A 16,563-nucleotide genomic window follows, 5' to 3' on the forward strand; every position below is an offset into this window, starting at 1 on the left:
AATAACTAGGTAGTGGTGGAACTGGCATTCTAAGGCGGTCTCACTCCAGTCCCTTCTTTCAACCAAGGAGAAAACAGGAAGGGGAACAGTTGGTTACACAGATGCATGAAAGCAGTTTTTAACTTGGGACTGAAACCACCTGAAAATAATGAAAGCAAGGGCTAAAATGTCAGCCTAGCAGAATAAGTGTTTTCTTCCCCCTCAGTACTTTCTGGTTCTTTCCTATATCCATACATAGTTAATACTTTTCATTGCTTCTAATTGCCTACTCTGCATCAGGCACAGTGCTATGTCCTGAAATTAAAAACAAAAACAAAAAAAAAACCTTGCCCCTGCCCTCAAGTAGCTCACTGCCCACAAGGAAGATAATCTAGTCGTGTGAATAGATGATTACAGTACCGTGTTGCTGAGTGCAGTGAGAGATTCAAGATCAAGGTCCAAAGAAGAAAAGTTAAATTATATTTAAACGGGTTACCCAAGGCTTCATGAGAAATAGACCCCTGAGCTAAAGCCTAATGGTTGAGTAGGAGTTTGCCTGGTTGGTAAATGGGAGTAGGGGCGCCTTCCAGACAGGGGGAACTATTGAAGGATTGTCAACTCCAGAGAAACAGTCTTAAAAATAGTAACACTTGTAGAGCACTTATATGCACCAAACACTATTCTACATACTTCTCATATCACTTCATTTGGGACTAATAGCTGGCCTACGAGGTAAGCTAGTGTTGTCTCCATTTTACAGATCAGGAATCTAAAACAGATGTTAAGTAACTTCCAAGATTACACAGTTACAGGCCAGGTGTGTGGTTCGTGCCTGTAATCCCAGCATTTTGGGAGGCTGTGGCGGGTGGATTGCCTGAGACATGAGTTCAAGATCAGCCTGGGCAACATGGTGAAACCCCATTTCTACAAAAATTAGCTGGGCATGGTGGTATATGCCTATAGTCCCACTACTTGGGAGGCTAAGATAGAGAATCATTTGAGCCCAGGAGGTTGAGGCTGTAGTGAGCTGTGATTGTACATGGGCAACAGAAGGAGACTGTCTAAAAAAAAAAAAAAGATTTCAACATGAATTTTGAGGGAGATGAACATTTAGACCATAGCAGTGGGGAAGGGGCATGGAAGAATATGGTTAAATATCTACCAGCATATCACTGGTCTGGCCTCTCACCAAGTTGAAGATCCACACATTAATCTCAAACTAGACATTTGCACAAATCGGAGTTTCTCAATGTTGGCAAATTTAGGGCTGGGTAACATTTTGTGGCGGTAGCTTATCCTGTGCATTGTAGAATATTTAATAGCATCCCTGGCCTCTACCCACTAGATGCCAGAATGAACCCCTCTCCCCCTCATTAAGACAACCAAAAACATCTCCAGACATTGCCAAATGTTCCCTGAGAGGCAATCACCCTGGATGAGAACCACTAGCACAGATAGATTGGTGCAAAAGGTACGTTTTAGTATCTAAGGAGCTACCGATGTAATTTATCCAAAAATTTATCCAGCCTTAAATTTGCCAACATTGAGAAACCCTGATTTGGGCAAATGTCTGGTATGAGATTAATATGTACATCTCCAATGTAGTGAGAGACGAGACCAGTGGGAAATAGGGCTTTAAGGAACTATATAACTATCCCTTGAGAAGCCTCCAAAATTATGAGGTTGAAAAGATCAGTGGCTTGCAGATTAAGCCAGTGTTATTAGGGCACATTCACTATGCTTGATACTTTCAACTAGTCAGTGTAAGACTCAGTAACACTTTTGAAAGGTATGCCATTTTAGAGAGAGATTGGTTTGTGGATGATGCCAAGTTTTTTTAACACTTATTTTGCACCTGATACTATTCTAAGCACTTTCCACGTACTAACTCATTAAATCTTCAAAATATCCCTATGAAATAAACACTATTATTATTCCTATTTTACAGATAAGAAAACTGAGTTGCAAAAAAGTTAAATAATTTGCTCAAGCTAGTAAGTAACAGAACTGGGATTTATACCAGTACAGTCTAATTCCAGAATCCATGCCTGTAAGTCTATTCTGCAGATGCCCTCAGAAGTCCGGGGGTATGTTACTCTCCATCTGTTCATTCAAGGCGTATCTTGTTTTTCTCAATTCAACCAAGAGTGTTTAGGATAGGAAAATTCTGAGGTCCCCCTTCTAGCACTTCCTAATTAGCGGACACAACTAGCCAAAGTTCTTTCAACAAGGATACGGTATATGCTGTCCTCGTGTGATTCTGGTCCAAAAATGTGTTATTAAGGTTTAAAAATACCACACAAGTACCTCCTGCATTTTGAGCAACCAGAGACCTTTGGATTGCATAAATAACAAAGGGAAGGAATCTTTTCTGGTATTGCTTTTGCTTGATAGTCCTGATTTTAAACATATGCCATTGCATGAATAAAAAATTCAGTTTTCCCTTAGGTAGGACTCATGAGAATTCATGAGTATCAAAACCAAAGTGCTGAATTATATAGGTAGCTCCTTAGAAACGAAACTGTACTTTTTGCATATTTTTAATACATACATGACCTAAGTTTTTTTTTTTTTTTTTTTTTGAGACGGAGTTTCGCACTTGTTGCCCAGGCTGGAGTACAATGGCGCAATCTCAGCTCACCACAACCTCTGCCTCCCAGGTTCAAGCGATTCTCCTGCCTCAGCTTCCTGAGTAGCTAGGATTACAGGCATGCACCACCACGCCCGGCTAATTTTTTTGTATTTTTAGTAGAGACGGGGTTTCTCCATGTTGGTCAGGCTGGTCTCAAACTCCCGACCTCAGGTGATCCATCCGCCTCAGCCTCCCAAAGTGCTGGGATTACAGGCAACAGCCACCGTGCCCGGCAACCTAAGTTATTTTTTAAATAAAATGGTAGCCAATTCCTTAAGGTAGTTGTTCTCAAAATGTAGGCCAGAAAAATAGCATCACCTGGGAACTTGTTAGAAATGCAAATTCAGAATTAAAACTCTGGGGATGAGGCCCAGTAATCTGTGTCTTAATAAACCTGCCAGTTGATTCTGATGCATCCTCAACTACTGTGTCAAGGTAGCATCTGAGCCTTCAAACATCACAAGAAACCCAGTAATTCCTAGTCTAAGACTATGGATTGGCCAGGCGCGGTGGCTCACGCCTGTAATCCCAGCACTTTGGGAGGCCGAGGTGGGTGGATCACGAGGTCAGGAGATTGAGACCATCCTGGCTAACACAGTGAAACCCCGTCTCTACTGAAAATACAAAAAATTAGCCAGGCATGGTGACGGGCGCCTGTAGTCCCAGCTACTTGGGAGGCTGAGGCAGGAGAATGGCGTGAACCTGGGAGGCAGAGCTTGCAGTGAGCCGAGATCACACCACTGCACTCCAGCCTGGGCGACCGAGCAAGAATCCGTCTCAAAAAAAAAAAAAAGACTATGGATCTCATAGGCTTTCACTGTTTGACGAAAAGTAGATGTTATGATAGGACTTAGAAAAAAATGCACTGTCCTCTTGCAAATATAAAGTTTGTGGGGAAAGTACCTCTTCCTGATTCTTCTCTTCATAGGCAAGCAGATTTTCTATAGTTTAGCTAGTTTCTCGTGCTTAATATATAAACAATGCAAACTGGAAAACACATAAGTTTCTCAGAAAGATGTCTTTATTTACTATGTTGTTTTGAACAGCTCCATCTACTACTGAGGGTGCTCACCAGCTACAGGGGGAGAGACTCTGGCATGAGCTATTCTTTCAGCCTGGAATCCACAGCCTGTACTCTGGTGGAGAAAAGGGAAAGTGAAGAGCTTACCAGGTCATAAGTCATAAGGGTACTTTGACTTGAAGGGCTGGAGTCATGATTAGAGAACTCCTGAAAATGCATGGAGCAAACTCCCAAAATACAGAATACATGACAATATCTTCTCCTCTCTCCTTCCACCCTCACTCTCAGCTGCTGACTTTGCTTTCTATTTCATGAAGAAATGAAAGCAACCAGAAAAGAATTTCCAGTGTTGCCATTACCACAACTCCCAGCCTACTTGTATCTGTACCTATATTGTCTGCCTTCCTTCCTGTTAGTATAGAGGGGTCTCTGTCCCAGTCCAAGGCCAAGGCCTCTATTACTGCACTAGATCTTATCTGTGATCACCTACTTGGGGACGTCTTTCCAGCAAATGCTCCCACTCTCCCCTGCACATCAGTTGGTACCTTCTAATGAATCATTCACATTAGCATACAAGCATGCTGTATTTTCGCCCTTTAAAAAAAATGAAAAAAAAAAAAAACTTCTTGGCTTTACACCCTAATCCAACTTCTGCATCATTTCTCTACTCCTTTTTATAGCAAAGTTCCTCAGAAGAGTCATCTATAGCACTGTCTCCAATTCTCCTTCTCCCATTCGCTATTTTATCCACTCCTCAAGCCTTTTGTGCCCACCACTTCACCAAAACAACTTAGCAAGTTTCACTGTGATCTCCATGTAACTAAATCCAATGGTCAGGTCACTGGCCTAATCTTACTTGGTTTATCAGTCTCATTTGATACAGTTGATTACTCCTTCCTCCTTGAAACATTTTATTGTTGTTGTTTCCAGAACAATACACTACCCTTAGGAATTTAAAGATATATATAATCCTTGCCCTAGGTTTGTGGGGAAGACTTGGGCAACAGTCAAGGGCTTCTGTACCTCCAGATTCTCACATAACTTTGTTTATGACAGTACTTCCCAGACTTCTTCATGTCTTGGCACACATAGAAAATGGTAATATTTTCCCAGTACTCTGGAATAACAAGACAATACTGCTCCCAACAGAAGGGGACCCACCTAGCCAACCCCATAGCCTGTGGCAGGAGTCGACAGTGTATGCGTTAAATGGGTCCAGTTTATGCCTTCATGTGAAGCAGTTTCACCTATTTTCCTGTCCTATAGCAATACAGTAATTTGGCTGGGCGCGGTGGCTCATGCCTGTAATCCCAGCACTTTGGGAGGCCGAGGCGGGAGGATCATGAGGTCAGGAGATGGAGACCATCCTAGCTAATAGGGTGAAACCCCGTCTCTTAAAAATACAAAAAATTAGCTGGGCATGGTGGTGGGTGCCTGTAGTCCCAGCTACTCAGGAGGCTGAGGCAGGAGAATGGCATGAACCTGGGAGGCGGAGCTTGCAGTGAGCCGAGATCGTGCCACTGCACTCCAGCCTGGGCGACAGAGCGAGACTCTGTCTCAAAAATTAGTAATAATAATAAAAAATAAAGTAATTTAATGACCTCAGTAACAGACCTCTCTGTCACCTGAATTTGGTCTAAAAACTCAACTTTATTCTTACATTCTCTTTTTCTTAGAGCTATAAAGATGAACTCTTTCAGTTCAAGGACTATCGTATATCTCTTTTATATGCCCCACAGCAGCTGGCACACTAGTGAACACAAAGTATGTTCTAAAGAACATGTCACATTGAAATCCTGCTCTGGATATTATTGCTTCAGAGGTATTAAGAGGTCATTTCTTAATCACCACCTTATCTTCAGTCAGCAATTTGATTCTACCAGTCAAAAGGAGTTAGATATATCTTACTTTAAAATATTCACCAAAAAAATGCAAGTCCAGAACCTCCCTTATTCATTCACACGCTCTTTCACTGCAAGTCCTTCCTCATATCTAACACAGTGGTACCCCATGTGCTTTAAGCCTACTTTGTCTTGATTTGTCCTTGAAAAGGAAGGAGGGAGTCACTCATCAATATTCTACATAACAATATGAGCTGGTTATCATGATGTCCCAATATCACTGGGTTGTAGATGCCATTAAAGTTTTCCACTGTAGTTGCTATAGAAACAATGAAGAGTAACAAGGACAGGTTCAGGCATAAAGCTTCTCATAAAAAAAAAAAGGTGTTTCAGAAAACGAAGGCCTAACCTCACTTAGGAAAAGCCTCAAAAGTTGGCAAGTCCACTCGACAAGAAAAGGAATTCATTTGGTACACAGGGTTACCTTCTTTGATTTTTATGTTGCTTTGCTTCATTTGTAATGTATTGACAGCAGAGAACAAGAAACAATCGGCCAAGGTTGGAAACCCAGAGGCTTTTATTACTGTGGGAGTCTTTGTCTTATGTAGTGGTAGAAAATAAACCTGAGATGATTACTGCTCTCTCTTAATGCTGGTATCCTAAAAATAAACATACTCTAGATGGTGGGATGAAAAATGGGAACTGTTAAAGTTTGAGTAATCAGGGAAGAGCTCAAAAGGATCCACACTCCCAGATAACCACTTATATTTCATTTGCCTCTGCAACTTTCCTCAAAAATAAGTTACCCTTTCAAAAACATAATCAATGATTTAAGAAGTTTATTGTGGAAAACATTCAGGCTGGAAACTCAGTTTTCATACTCAACTATCATCCAAAAAAATAAATCAATCCATCAGCCGTGGAACCTACCTTATGTTCCAAATCTTTTTGTGGAAAGATCTGTCCAGCAGCCTAGGAATCAGGAAAAGTTATTCTCCCAAAAAGTGAGGCAGGAAAAAAAAAAAAAACGGGAAAAAGAGAAGGCAGAAAATCTCTAAAGGCTAATTATATTAATTTCGAACAGGAGAAAAAAATTTTTTTAACTCAAGTGATTTTGGAAGGCAGAGGGGGATTCAAATGTTACTGCACATTGCAGTTGGAAAATTCCAATTTAACAGCCCCTTTGTGAACGATCATTCCCCTTTTCTAGGAACCTAGGAAATCATTCTCAGCCTTGCAACTTAAAATATGGTACATGGATCAGTAGCATCAAGAATACTCAGGAGCTTTTCAGAAATGTGCAATTGTGAAATATGGCCAAGATGGCGGATTAGAAGCAGCGGCAGCCCGCAGCTCTCATGCAAAGGAATGAAAGGTGTGAGTGAATACAGCGCCTTCAACTGAAATATCCAGGTTCTCGCTTTGGGACTAATTGGGCAAACAACTTGACCCACAGAAAACAAAGAAAAGCAGGGTGGGGTGACGGCCCACCTGGGAGCAGCACAGAGCCAAAGGAACCCCCACCTCCAGCCAAGGGAAGCGGTGAGTGATTGTGCGACCCCACCGGGGAAACCACATTTCTCCCACAGGTCTTTGCAACCCATGGAAAAGGAGATCTCCTTGTGAGCCCATGCCAGCAGAGCCTTAGGTCCAACACACAGAGCTGTGCGGAGTTTCAGCAGAGCAGCCGCTCAGGCACAAACAGAGACCTAGCAGGGCTTTTTTGTTTTGGTTTTTTTGTTGGTTTTTTTTTTTTTCTTTTTTTGGAGACGGAGTCTCGTTCTGTCGCCCAGGCTGGAGTGCAGTGACACGATCTCGGCTCACTGCAAGCTCCGCCTCCCGGGTTCACGCCATTCTCCTGCCTCAGCCTCCCGAGTAGCTGGGACTACAGGCGCCCGCCACCATGCCCTGCTAACTTTTTGTATTTTTAGTAGAGACGGGGTTTCACCGTGTTAGCCAGAATGGTCTGGATCTCCTGACCTGATGATCCGCCCGTGTCAGCCTCCCAAAGTGCTGGGATTACAGGCGTGAGCCACCGTGCCCGGCGGAGACCTAGCAGTTTTACATACTCCAACGCTGGGATCCCTGGCAAGGCGGGAGGTCCATCTGCACATACCCCTAGGAAGAGGGCTGAAACCAGGGAGCCAAGCAGCATCTTTCTGCAGGCCCCACTTCCCTGGCACCTCACAAGATAAGACCCACTGACTTGGAATTCCAGCCAGCCAACAGTAAAAGCCAGAGTCTGCCTGAGAGAGAATTGAGCTCCCAGCGGGAGGATGACTGTTACCTCTGTGGTTCAGTTGACTCAGCCATTCTAGCTTGCGGCTTTGGAGAATCGAAACAGTCCAGACAAGGAAAGGTCCCTCCCAACGCAAGCACAGCTGCTTTGTCAGTTGGTGGCCAGACTGCTTGTTTTGTCTTTGTTTTGTTTTGTTTTTGGAGATAGTCTCACTTTGTCACCCAGGCTGGAGTGCAATGGCGCAATCTCGGCTTACTGCAACCTCTGCCTCCTGAGCTCAAGTAATCCTCCCACCTCAGCCTCCCGCACCCTGTTTCCCAGGATGAGGGGCTCTCCACACCAGATCCCAGAAATAAGAAATCAAAGGGTGCACGGGAGAAGGGATGGGGTCAAACAATAGGACCAAGTGAGTGGAGTAGCTGGGACTACAGGCACACATCACCACGTCCAGCTCGTGTGTGTGTGTGTTTGTGTGTGTGTGTGTTTGGTAGATATGGGAGTTTCACCCTGTTGCCCAGGCTGGTCTGAAACTCCTGAACTCAAGCAATCCACTTGCCTCGGCTTTCCAAAGTGCTGGGATTACAGGCGTAAGCCACCACACCCGGCCAGACTGCTTCTTTAAGCAGGACCCGGATCCATTCCTCCTCACTGGGTGGGATCTCCCTGTGGGAGCTTCAACCACTCCAGCCAGGGTTATATGGATAGAGCTCTGATCTTTCCCTGGGATGGAGCTCCCAGAGGGAGGGGCAGCCGCCATCTGTGTGGTTTGGTTGACTCAGCTGTTCCAGCCTGCTGGCTTTGGAGAGTCCAAATGGTCCTGACAAGGAAGGGTCCCCCACAACGAGCACAGCTGCTTTGCCAGATCATGGCCAGGCTGCTTCTTTAAGTGGGACCTGGATCCATTCCTCCTCACTGGGCAGGACCTCCATGTGGGGGTTTCAGCCACTCTAGCCAGGGTTATACAGACAGAGCTCTGATTTCTCCCTGGGATGGAGCTCCCAGGAGGAGGGGCAGCCGCCATCTCTACAGTTTGGTTGACTCAGCCATTCCAGCCTGCTGGCTTTGGAGAGTCCAAACAGTCTGGACAAGGAACAGTGCCCCCACAATGCAGCACACCTGCTCTACCAAAAAGCAGCCAGACTGCTTCTTTAAGTGGGTCCCTGATCCCATTCCTCCTGACTGACACCTCCCAAAAGGAGTCTGTGGCCTAGGTGTGTCTGGGCCAGCAACAGGTCAGTATCCTCCTGGGATGGAGCCTCCAAAGGAAGGAGCAGTCTGCCACCTTTGCTGTTTTGCATACCTGGTGGTATGTTTTGCAGCATACCACCAGGTATGAGAACAACCGAGGTGACTAGGGTCTGGAGTGGACCCACGGCAAACTGCAGCAGCCCTGTGGAAGAGTTGTCTGACTGTTAAAAGAAAAACAAACAAACAGAAAACAACAACATCAACAGAAAAGACCCCACAAAAACCTATTTCAAGGTCAGCAACCTCAAAGCTCAAAGGTAGATAAGCCCACAAAGATGAGACAGATTCAACACAAAAATGCTGAAAACTCAAAAAGACAGAGTGCGTCTCTGCCTCCAAATGACTGCACACCTCTCCAGCAAAGGCACAGAACTGGGCTGAAGCTGAGATGGCTGAATTGACAGAACTAGGCTTCTGAAAGTGGGTAATAACAAACTTCACTGAGCTAAAGGACCATGTTGTAACCCAATGCAAGGGAGCTATGAATCATGAGAAAACAATGCAGGAGCTGACAGCCAGAGTAGCCAGTTTAGAGAGGAACATAACAGACCTAATGGTGCTGAAAAACACACTATGAGAACTTTACAATGCAATCACAAGTATCAAGAGCAGAATAGACCAGTGGAAAAAAGAATCGCAGAGTTTGAAGACTATTTTTCTGAAATAAGACAGGCATACAAGAATGGAGAAAAAAAGAATGAAAAGGATCATGGGATTATGTAAAGCAAAACCCATGACTGATTGGGGTACCTGAAAGAGACAGGGAGAATGGAACCGAGTTGGAAAACATACTTCAGGATATCAGTCAGGAGAATTTCCCCAACCTAGCAAGTCAGGCCAACGTTCAAATTGAAAAAATGCAGAGAACCCCAGTAAGATACTCCACAAGAAGATCAACCCCAAGACACACAATCATCAGATTCTCCAACGTTGAAATGAAAGAAAAAATATTAAGGGCAGCCAGAGAGAAGGGCCAGTTCACCTACAAAAGGAAGCCCATGAGACTAACAGCAGGCCTCTTGGTGGAAATCCTACAAGCCAGAAGAGACTGGGGCCAATAATCAACATCAACTTTTTTTTTTTTTTTTTGAGACAGGATCTCACTCCATCACCTAGGCTGGAGTGCAGTGGCACAATCTCAGCTCACTGCAACCTCTGCCTCCTGGATTCAAGCCATTCTCTCATCTCAGCCTCCCGAGTAGCTGGGACTACAGGCACCTGCCACCATGCCTGGCTAATTTTTGTATTTTTAGTAGAGATGGGGTTTCACCTTGTTGGTCAGGCTGGTCTTGAACTCCTGACCTCAGGTGATCCACCCACCTCGGCCTCCCAAAGTGCTGGGATTACAGGCGTGAGCCCCCATGCCTGGCCTCAACATTCTAAAAGAAAAGAATGTCCAGACCAGAATTTCAGATCCAGCCCAACTAAGCTTTATAAGTAAAGGAGAAATAAGATCCTTTGCAGACAAGCAAATGCTGAGGGAATTTGTCACCATTGGGCCTGCCTTGCAAGAGCTCCTGAAGCTTCCATATTAAGCACTAAATATGGAAAGAAAACCCGTTACCGGACACTACAAAAACACACTGAAGTACACAGACCAGTGACATTATGAAGCAACCACATAAAAATGTCTGCAAAATAACCAGCTAGCATCATGATGACAGGATCAAATTCACACATAACCATACTAACCTTAAACGTAAATAGGCTAAATGCCCCAATTAAAAGACACAGAATGACAAGCTGGATAAAGTGCCAAGACCCATCAGTATGCTGTCTTCAAGAGACTCATCTCATGTGTGAAGACACACATAGGCTCAAAATAAAGGAATGGAGAAAAATTTACCAAACAAATGGAAAACAGAAAAAAGTAGGGGTTGCCATCCTAGTTTCTGACAAAACAGACTTTAAACCAATAAGATCAAAAAAGAGAAAGAAGGGCATTACATAATGGTAAAGGGTTCAATTCAACAAGAAGAGCTAACTATCCTAAATGTATATGCACCCAATACAGGAGCACCCAGATTCATAAAACAAGTTCTTAGAGACCTACAAAGAGACTTAGACTCCCAAACAATAATAGTGGGAGACTTTAACACCCCACCGACTATATTAGACAGATCACTGAGAGAGAAAATTAACAATGATATTCAGGACCTGAACTCAGTTCTGAATCAAGTGGACCTGATAGATATTTATAGAACTCTCCACCCCAAAACAACAGAATAAACATTCTTCTCATCACCCACAGAACTTACTCTAAAACTGATTACATAATCAGAAGTAAAACACTCCTCAGCAAATACAAAAGAACTGAAATAATAATAGTCTGTCAGACCACAGCGCAATCAAATTAGAACTCAAGATTAAGAAATTCACTCACAACCACACAACTACATGGAAACTGAACAACCTACTCCTGAATGACTCCTGGGCAAATAATGAAATTAAGACAGAAATCAAGAAGTTCTTTGAAACTGAAACAAAGGACAAAGTACCAAAATTTCTGGGATGCAGCTAAAGCAGTGTTAAGAGGGAAATTTATAGCACTAAATGCTTATATCAAAAAGCTAGAAAGATCTCAAGTTAAAAACCTAACATCACAACAAAAAGAACTAGAGAATCAAGAGCAAACAAATTCCAAAGCTAGAAGATGACAAGAAATAACTAAGATCAGAGTTGAACTGAAGGAGATAGAGACAAGAAAAACACTTTCAAAAATCAACAAATCTAGGAGCTGGTTTTTTGAAAATAGGTAAAATAGATAAACCACTAATTAGACTAATAAAGAAGAAAAGAGAGAAGAATCAAATAAACACAATCATAAATGATAAGGGAGAAATCACCATTGACCCCACAGAAATCCAAACAATCATCAGAGAATACTATAAACACTTCTATGCACGTAAACTAGAAAATCTAGAAGAAATGGATAAATCCTGAACACATACACCCTCCCAAGACTGAACCAAGAAGAAACTGAATCCCTTAATAGACCAATAATGAGTTCTGAAATTGAGGCACTAATAAATAGCCTACCAACCAAAAAAAGAAAAAAAAAACCCAGGACCAGACAGATTTACAGCAGAATTCTACCACAGGTACAAAGAGCTGGTACCACTCCTACTGAAACTATCTGAAAAAATTGAAAAGGAGGGACTCCTCCCTGACTCATTCTATGAAGCCAGCATCATCCTGATACCAAAGCCTGGCAGAGATACAACAAAAAAAAGAAAACTTCAGGCCAACATCTTTGATGAACACTGATGCAAAAATCCTCAATGAAATACTGGCAAATGAAATCCAGCAGCACATCAAAAAGTTTATCCACCACAATCAAGTTGGCTTCATCCCTGGGATGCAAGGTTGGTTCAACATATGCAAATCAATAAATGCACTTCATCACATAAACAGAACTAAAGAAAAAAAACCACATGATTATCTCCATAGATGCAGAAAAGGCTTTGAAAAAATTTAAATCCCTTCATATTAAAAACTCTGAATAAGCTAGGTATTTAAAAAACATACCACAAAATAATAAAAGCCACCTGTGACAGACTCACAGCCAATGTCATACCAAATGGACAAAAGCTGGAAGCATTCCCCATGAAAACCAGCACAAGACAAGGGTACTCTGTCTTACCACTCCTATTCAACATAGTATTCAAAGTTCTGGCCAGGGCAATCAGGCAAGAGAAAGAAATGAAGCATATTCAAATAGGAAGACAGGATGTCAAATTATCTTTGTTTGCAGATAATATAATTCTATGTCCAGAAAGCTCCATCATTTCAGCCTAAAAGCTTCTTAAGCTGATAAGCAATTTCAGCAGTCTCAGGATGCAAAATCAATGTGCAAAAATTGCTAGCATTCCTATACATCAACAACAGGAAAGCACAGAGCCAAATCGTGAATGAATTCCCATTCACAATTGCTACAAAGAGAATAAAATACCTAGGAATACAGCTAACAAGGGAAGTGAAGGACCTCTTCAAGGAGAACTGCAAACCAATGCTCAATGAAATCAGAGAGGACACAAACAAATGGAAAAACATCCCATGCTCATGGATAGGAAGAATGAATATCATGAAAATAGTCATACTGCCCAAAGTAGTTTATAGATTCAATGCTAATCTCATGAAACTACCATTGATATTCTTCACAAAATTAGAAAAAAACTACTTAAAAATTCATATGGAACCAGGCCAGGTGCAGTGGCTCAAACCTGTAATCCCAGCACTTTGGGAGGCCAAGGCAGGCAGATCACTTGAGATCAGGAATTTGAGACGAGCCTAGCCAATATGGTGAAACCCCATCTCTACTAAAATTACAAAAATTATCCAGACATGGTGGTGGGTGCCTACAGTCCCAGCTACTCAGGAGGCTGAGGCAGGAGAATTGCTTGAACCCAGGAGGCAGAGGTTGCAGTGAGCCAAGATCATGCCACTGCACTCCAGCCTGGGTGACAGAGTGAGACTCCATCTCAAAAAAAAAAAAAAAAAAAAATATATATATATATATATATATATGGAACTGAAAAGAACCCATATAGCCAAGATAATCCGAAGGAAAAAGAACAAAGCTGGAGGTGTCGTGCTACCTACTTCCAAACTGTACTACAAGGCTACAGTAATCAAAACAGCATGGTAATGGTACAAAAATAGACACGTAGGCCAATGGAACAGAATAGAGAATTCAGAAATAAAACTACACATCTACAAACATCTGATCTTTGACAAACCTAACAAAAACAAGCAGTGGGGAAAGGATTCCCTATTTCATAAATGGTGCTGAGAGAACTGGCTAGCTATATGCAGAAAATTGAAACTGGACTCCTTCCTTATACCTTATACAAAAATTAACTCAAGATGAATTAAAGATTTAAATGTAAAACCCAAAACTATAAAAACTCTAGAAGAAAAGCTAGGCAATACCGTTCAGGACATAGGCAAAGGCAAAGATTTCATGATGAAAGCATTAAAAGCAATTGCAACAAAGCAAAAATTGACAAATAGGATCTAATTAAACTAAAGAGCCTCTGCACAGCAAAAGAAACTATCATCAGAGTGAATAGACAACTTACAGAATGGGAGAAAAATTTTGCAATCTATCCATCTGACAAAGGGCTAATATCCAGAATCTACAAGGAACATAAACAAATTTATGAGAAAAAAACAACCCCATCAAAAAGTGGGCAAAGAACCTGTATGAACAAACACTTCTCAAAAGAAGACATACATGCGGCCAAAAAACGTGAAAAAAAAACTCAACATCACTGATCATTAGAGAAATGCAAATCAAAAACACAATGAGATCCCATCTCATGCCAGTGAGAATGACTATTATTAAAACTCGAGAAAACAACAGATGCTGGCAAGGCTGTGGAGAAAAAGGAACACTTCTACACTGCTGGTGGGAGTGTAAATTAGTTCAACCATTGTGGAATACTGTGTGGCAATTCCTCAAAGTCCTAGAGGCAGACATACCATTTGACCTAGTAATCTCATTACTGAGTATATACCCAAGGGACTATAAATCATTCTATCATAAAGATACATGCATGTGTATGTTCACTGCAGCACTATCCACAATAGCAAAGACATAGAATCAATCTAAATGCCCATCAACAATAGACTGGATAAAAAATGTGGTACAGATACACCATGGAATACTATGCAGCCATAAAAAGGAACAAGATTATGTCCTTTGCAGGGACATAGATGGAGTTGGAAGCTATTACCCTGAGCAGACTAACACAGGAACAGAAAACGAAAACTAAACACCGCATGTTCTCACTTATAAGTAAGAGCTGAATGATGAGAGAACACAAGGGCACATCCAGGGAAACAACACACACTGGAGCCTGTGGGGGTGAGGGTAGGAGGAGGGAGAACATCAAGAAGAATAGGTAATAGATGTTGGGCTTAATACCTAGGTAATGGGATGATGTGTGCAGCAAACCACCCTGGCACACGTTTACCTATGTAACAAACCTGCACCTCCTGCACATGTATCCCTGAACTTAAGATAAATGTTGGGAAAAAAAGGAACAAATGGTTGCTTGAAAACAATTTTAAAACATCTTAAAAGTAAATAAGCTGGGTGCGGTGGCTCACACCTGTAATCCCAGCACTTTGGGAGGCCAAGGCAGGCAGATCACCTGAAGTCAGGAGTTCGAGACCAGCCTGACCAACATGGAGAAACCCCATCTCTACTAAAAATACAAAATTAGCTGGGCATGGTGGCACATGCCTGTAATCCCAGCTACTCAGGAGGCTGAGGCAGGAGAATCACTTGAACCCGGGAGGCGGCGATTGCGGTGAGCCGAGATCACACCATTGCACTCCAGCCTGGGCAGAAAGAGTGAAACTCCGTCTCAAAAAAAAAAAAGTAAATAAACAAGGCCAGGCCCGGTAGCTCGCACCTGTAATCCCAGCATTTGGGAGGCCGAGGTGGGTGGATCTCTTGAGGCCAGGAGTTTGAGACCAGCCTGGCCAACATGATTAAACCCCATCTCTACTAAAAATACAAAAAATTATAATTATCTGTGTGTGGTGGTGTGCACCTGTAGTCCCAGCTACTCAGGAGGCTGAGGCAGGAGAATCTCCTGGATCCGGGAGGAAGAGGTTACAGTGAGCTGTGATCACGCCACTGCATTCCAGCCTGGGCAACAGAGTGAAACACTCTCTCAAAAAAATAAATATAGGCTGGGCACAGTGGCTCATGCCTGTAATCCCAGCACTTTGGGAGGCTGAGGTGGGCGGATCATGAGGTCAGGAGATCAAGACCATCCTGGCTAACATGGTGAAACCCTGTCTCTACTAAAAATACAAAAAATTAGCCAGGCATGGTGGCGGGTGCCTGTAGCCCCAGCTACTCAGGAGGCTGAGGCAGGAGAATGGTGTGAACCCGGGAGGTGGAGCTTGCAGTGAGCCGAGATCACACCACTGCACTCCAGCCTGGGCGACGGAGCAAGACTCTGTCACAAAAAATAAATAAATAAATAAATAAAAATAAACAAATAAATAAAATGTGGAAATGCAAGTCCCACCCTTCTACAATTTAACAAGATTATCCAGGTAATTCATATGCATATTAAATTTTGAGACACACTGATTACAAAATCCTGGTGACCTCAGGTGATCTGCCTACCTCAGCCTCCCAAAGTGCTGGGATTACATGTGTGAGCCACCACACCCAGCCTAAGCAGGTATTGTTATACGTGTTTAACAGATGAGAAAGCCAGGAACTCAAAATATGCTGAGGGCTGTTTTCACTACACTAACTTCCAAAGCAGCTAAGTAACTGCCGTTTCCCTAGTTAAGAATAGAAGAAAGTTGAGGGCTAAAATTAATAGTTTCCAGTGTTTTCTACTGTGAGCCTATAAGAAGAGCCTGAAAGCATTTTAAAGGATAAACCATTAATTCCAGTCTCTTAATTCCATATATGGAGAAACTGGGGCCCAGAGAGAATACATGGCTTGTCTCAAATCACAAGATTTTAGCCGAAATTAGAACTCCTACTCCATACTCCTAGTTCATTGTTTTTTACTAAAATGCATTTCCCAAATGTGATTCATGGATTCCACAGGATATTAACAGACAT

At 42.6% G+C, this 16,563-nt stretch overlaps 2 protein-coding genes across 5 annotated transcripts in view; one reads left to right on the forward strand and one right to left on the reverse strand.

The window, feature by feature from the left end:
- The window catches only part of AVEN (apoptosis and caspase activation inhibitor), a 223,545-nt gene that overhangs the window by 188,076 nt on the left and 18,906 nt on the right, over positions 1-16,563 (reverse strand). The gene's annotated exons all lie outside the window — the stretch shown is intronic.
- CHRM5 (cholinergic receptor muscarinic 5) overlaps positions 1-16,563 on the forward strand; it is a 98,962-nt gene that overhangs the window by 71,360 nt on the left and 11,039 nt on the right. Inside the window, exon 2 of one of the 2 annotated variants that reach the window (NM_012125.4) lies at positions 6,684-7,015. The exons of the other annotated variant lie outside the window; for it this stretch is intronic. The gene's annotated coding sequence lies outside the window, so the exon portion shown is untranslated. The remainder of the gene's footprint in view (positions 1-6,683; positions 7,016-16,563) is intronic. 2 annotated transcript variants of the gene reach the window in all.

Source organism: Homo sapiens, chromosome 15, assembly GCF_000001405.40.
Source record: "Homo sapiens chromosome 15, GRCh38.p14 Primary Assembly".
Lineage (NCBI taxonomy): Eukaryota > Metazoa > Chordata > Mammalia > Primates > Hominidae > Homo > Homo sapiens.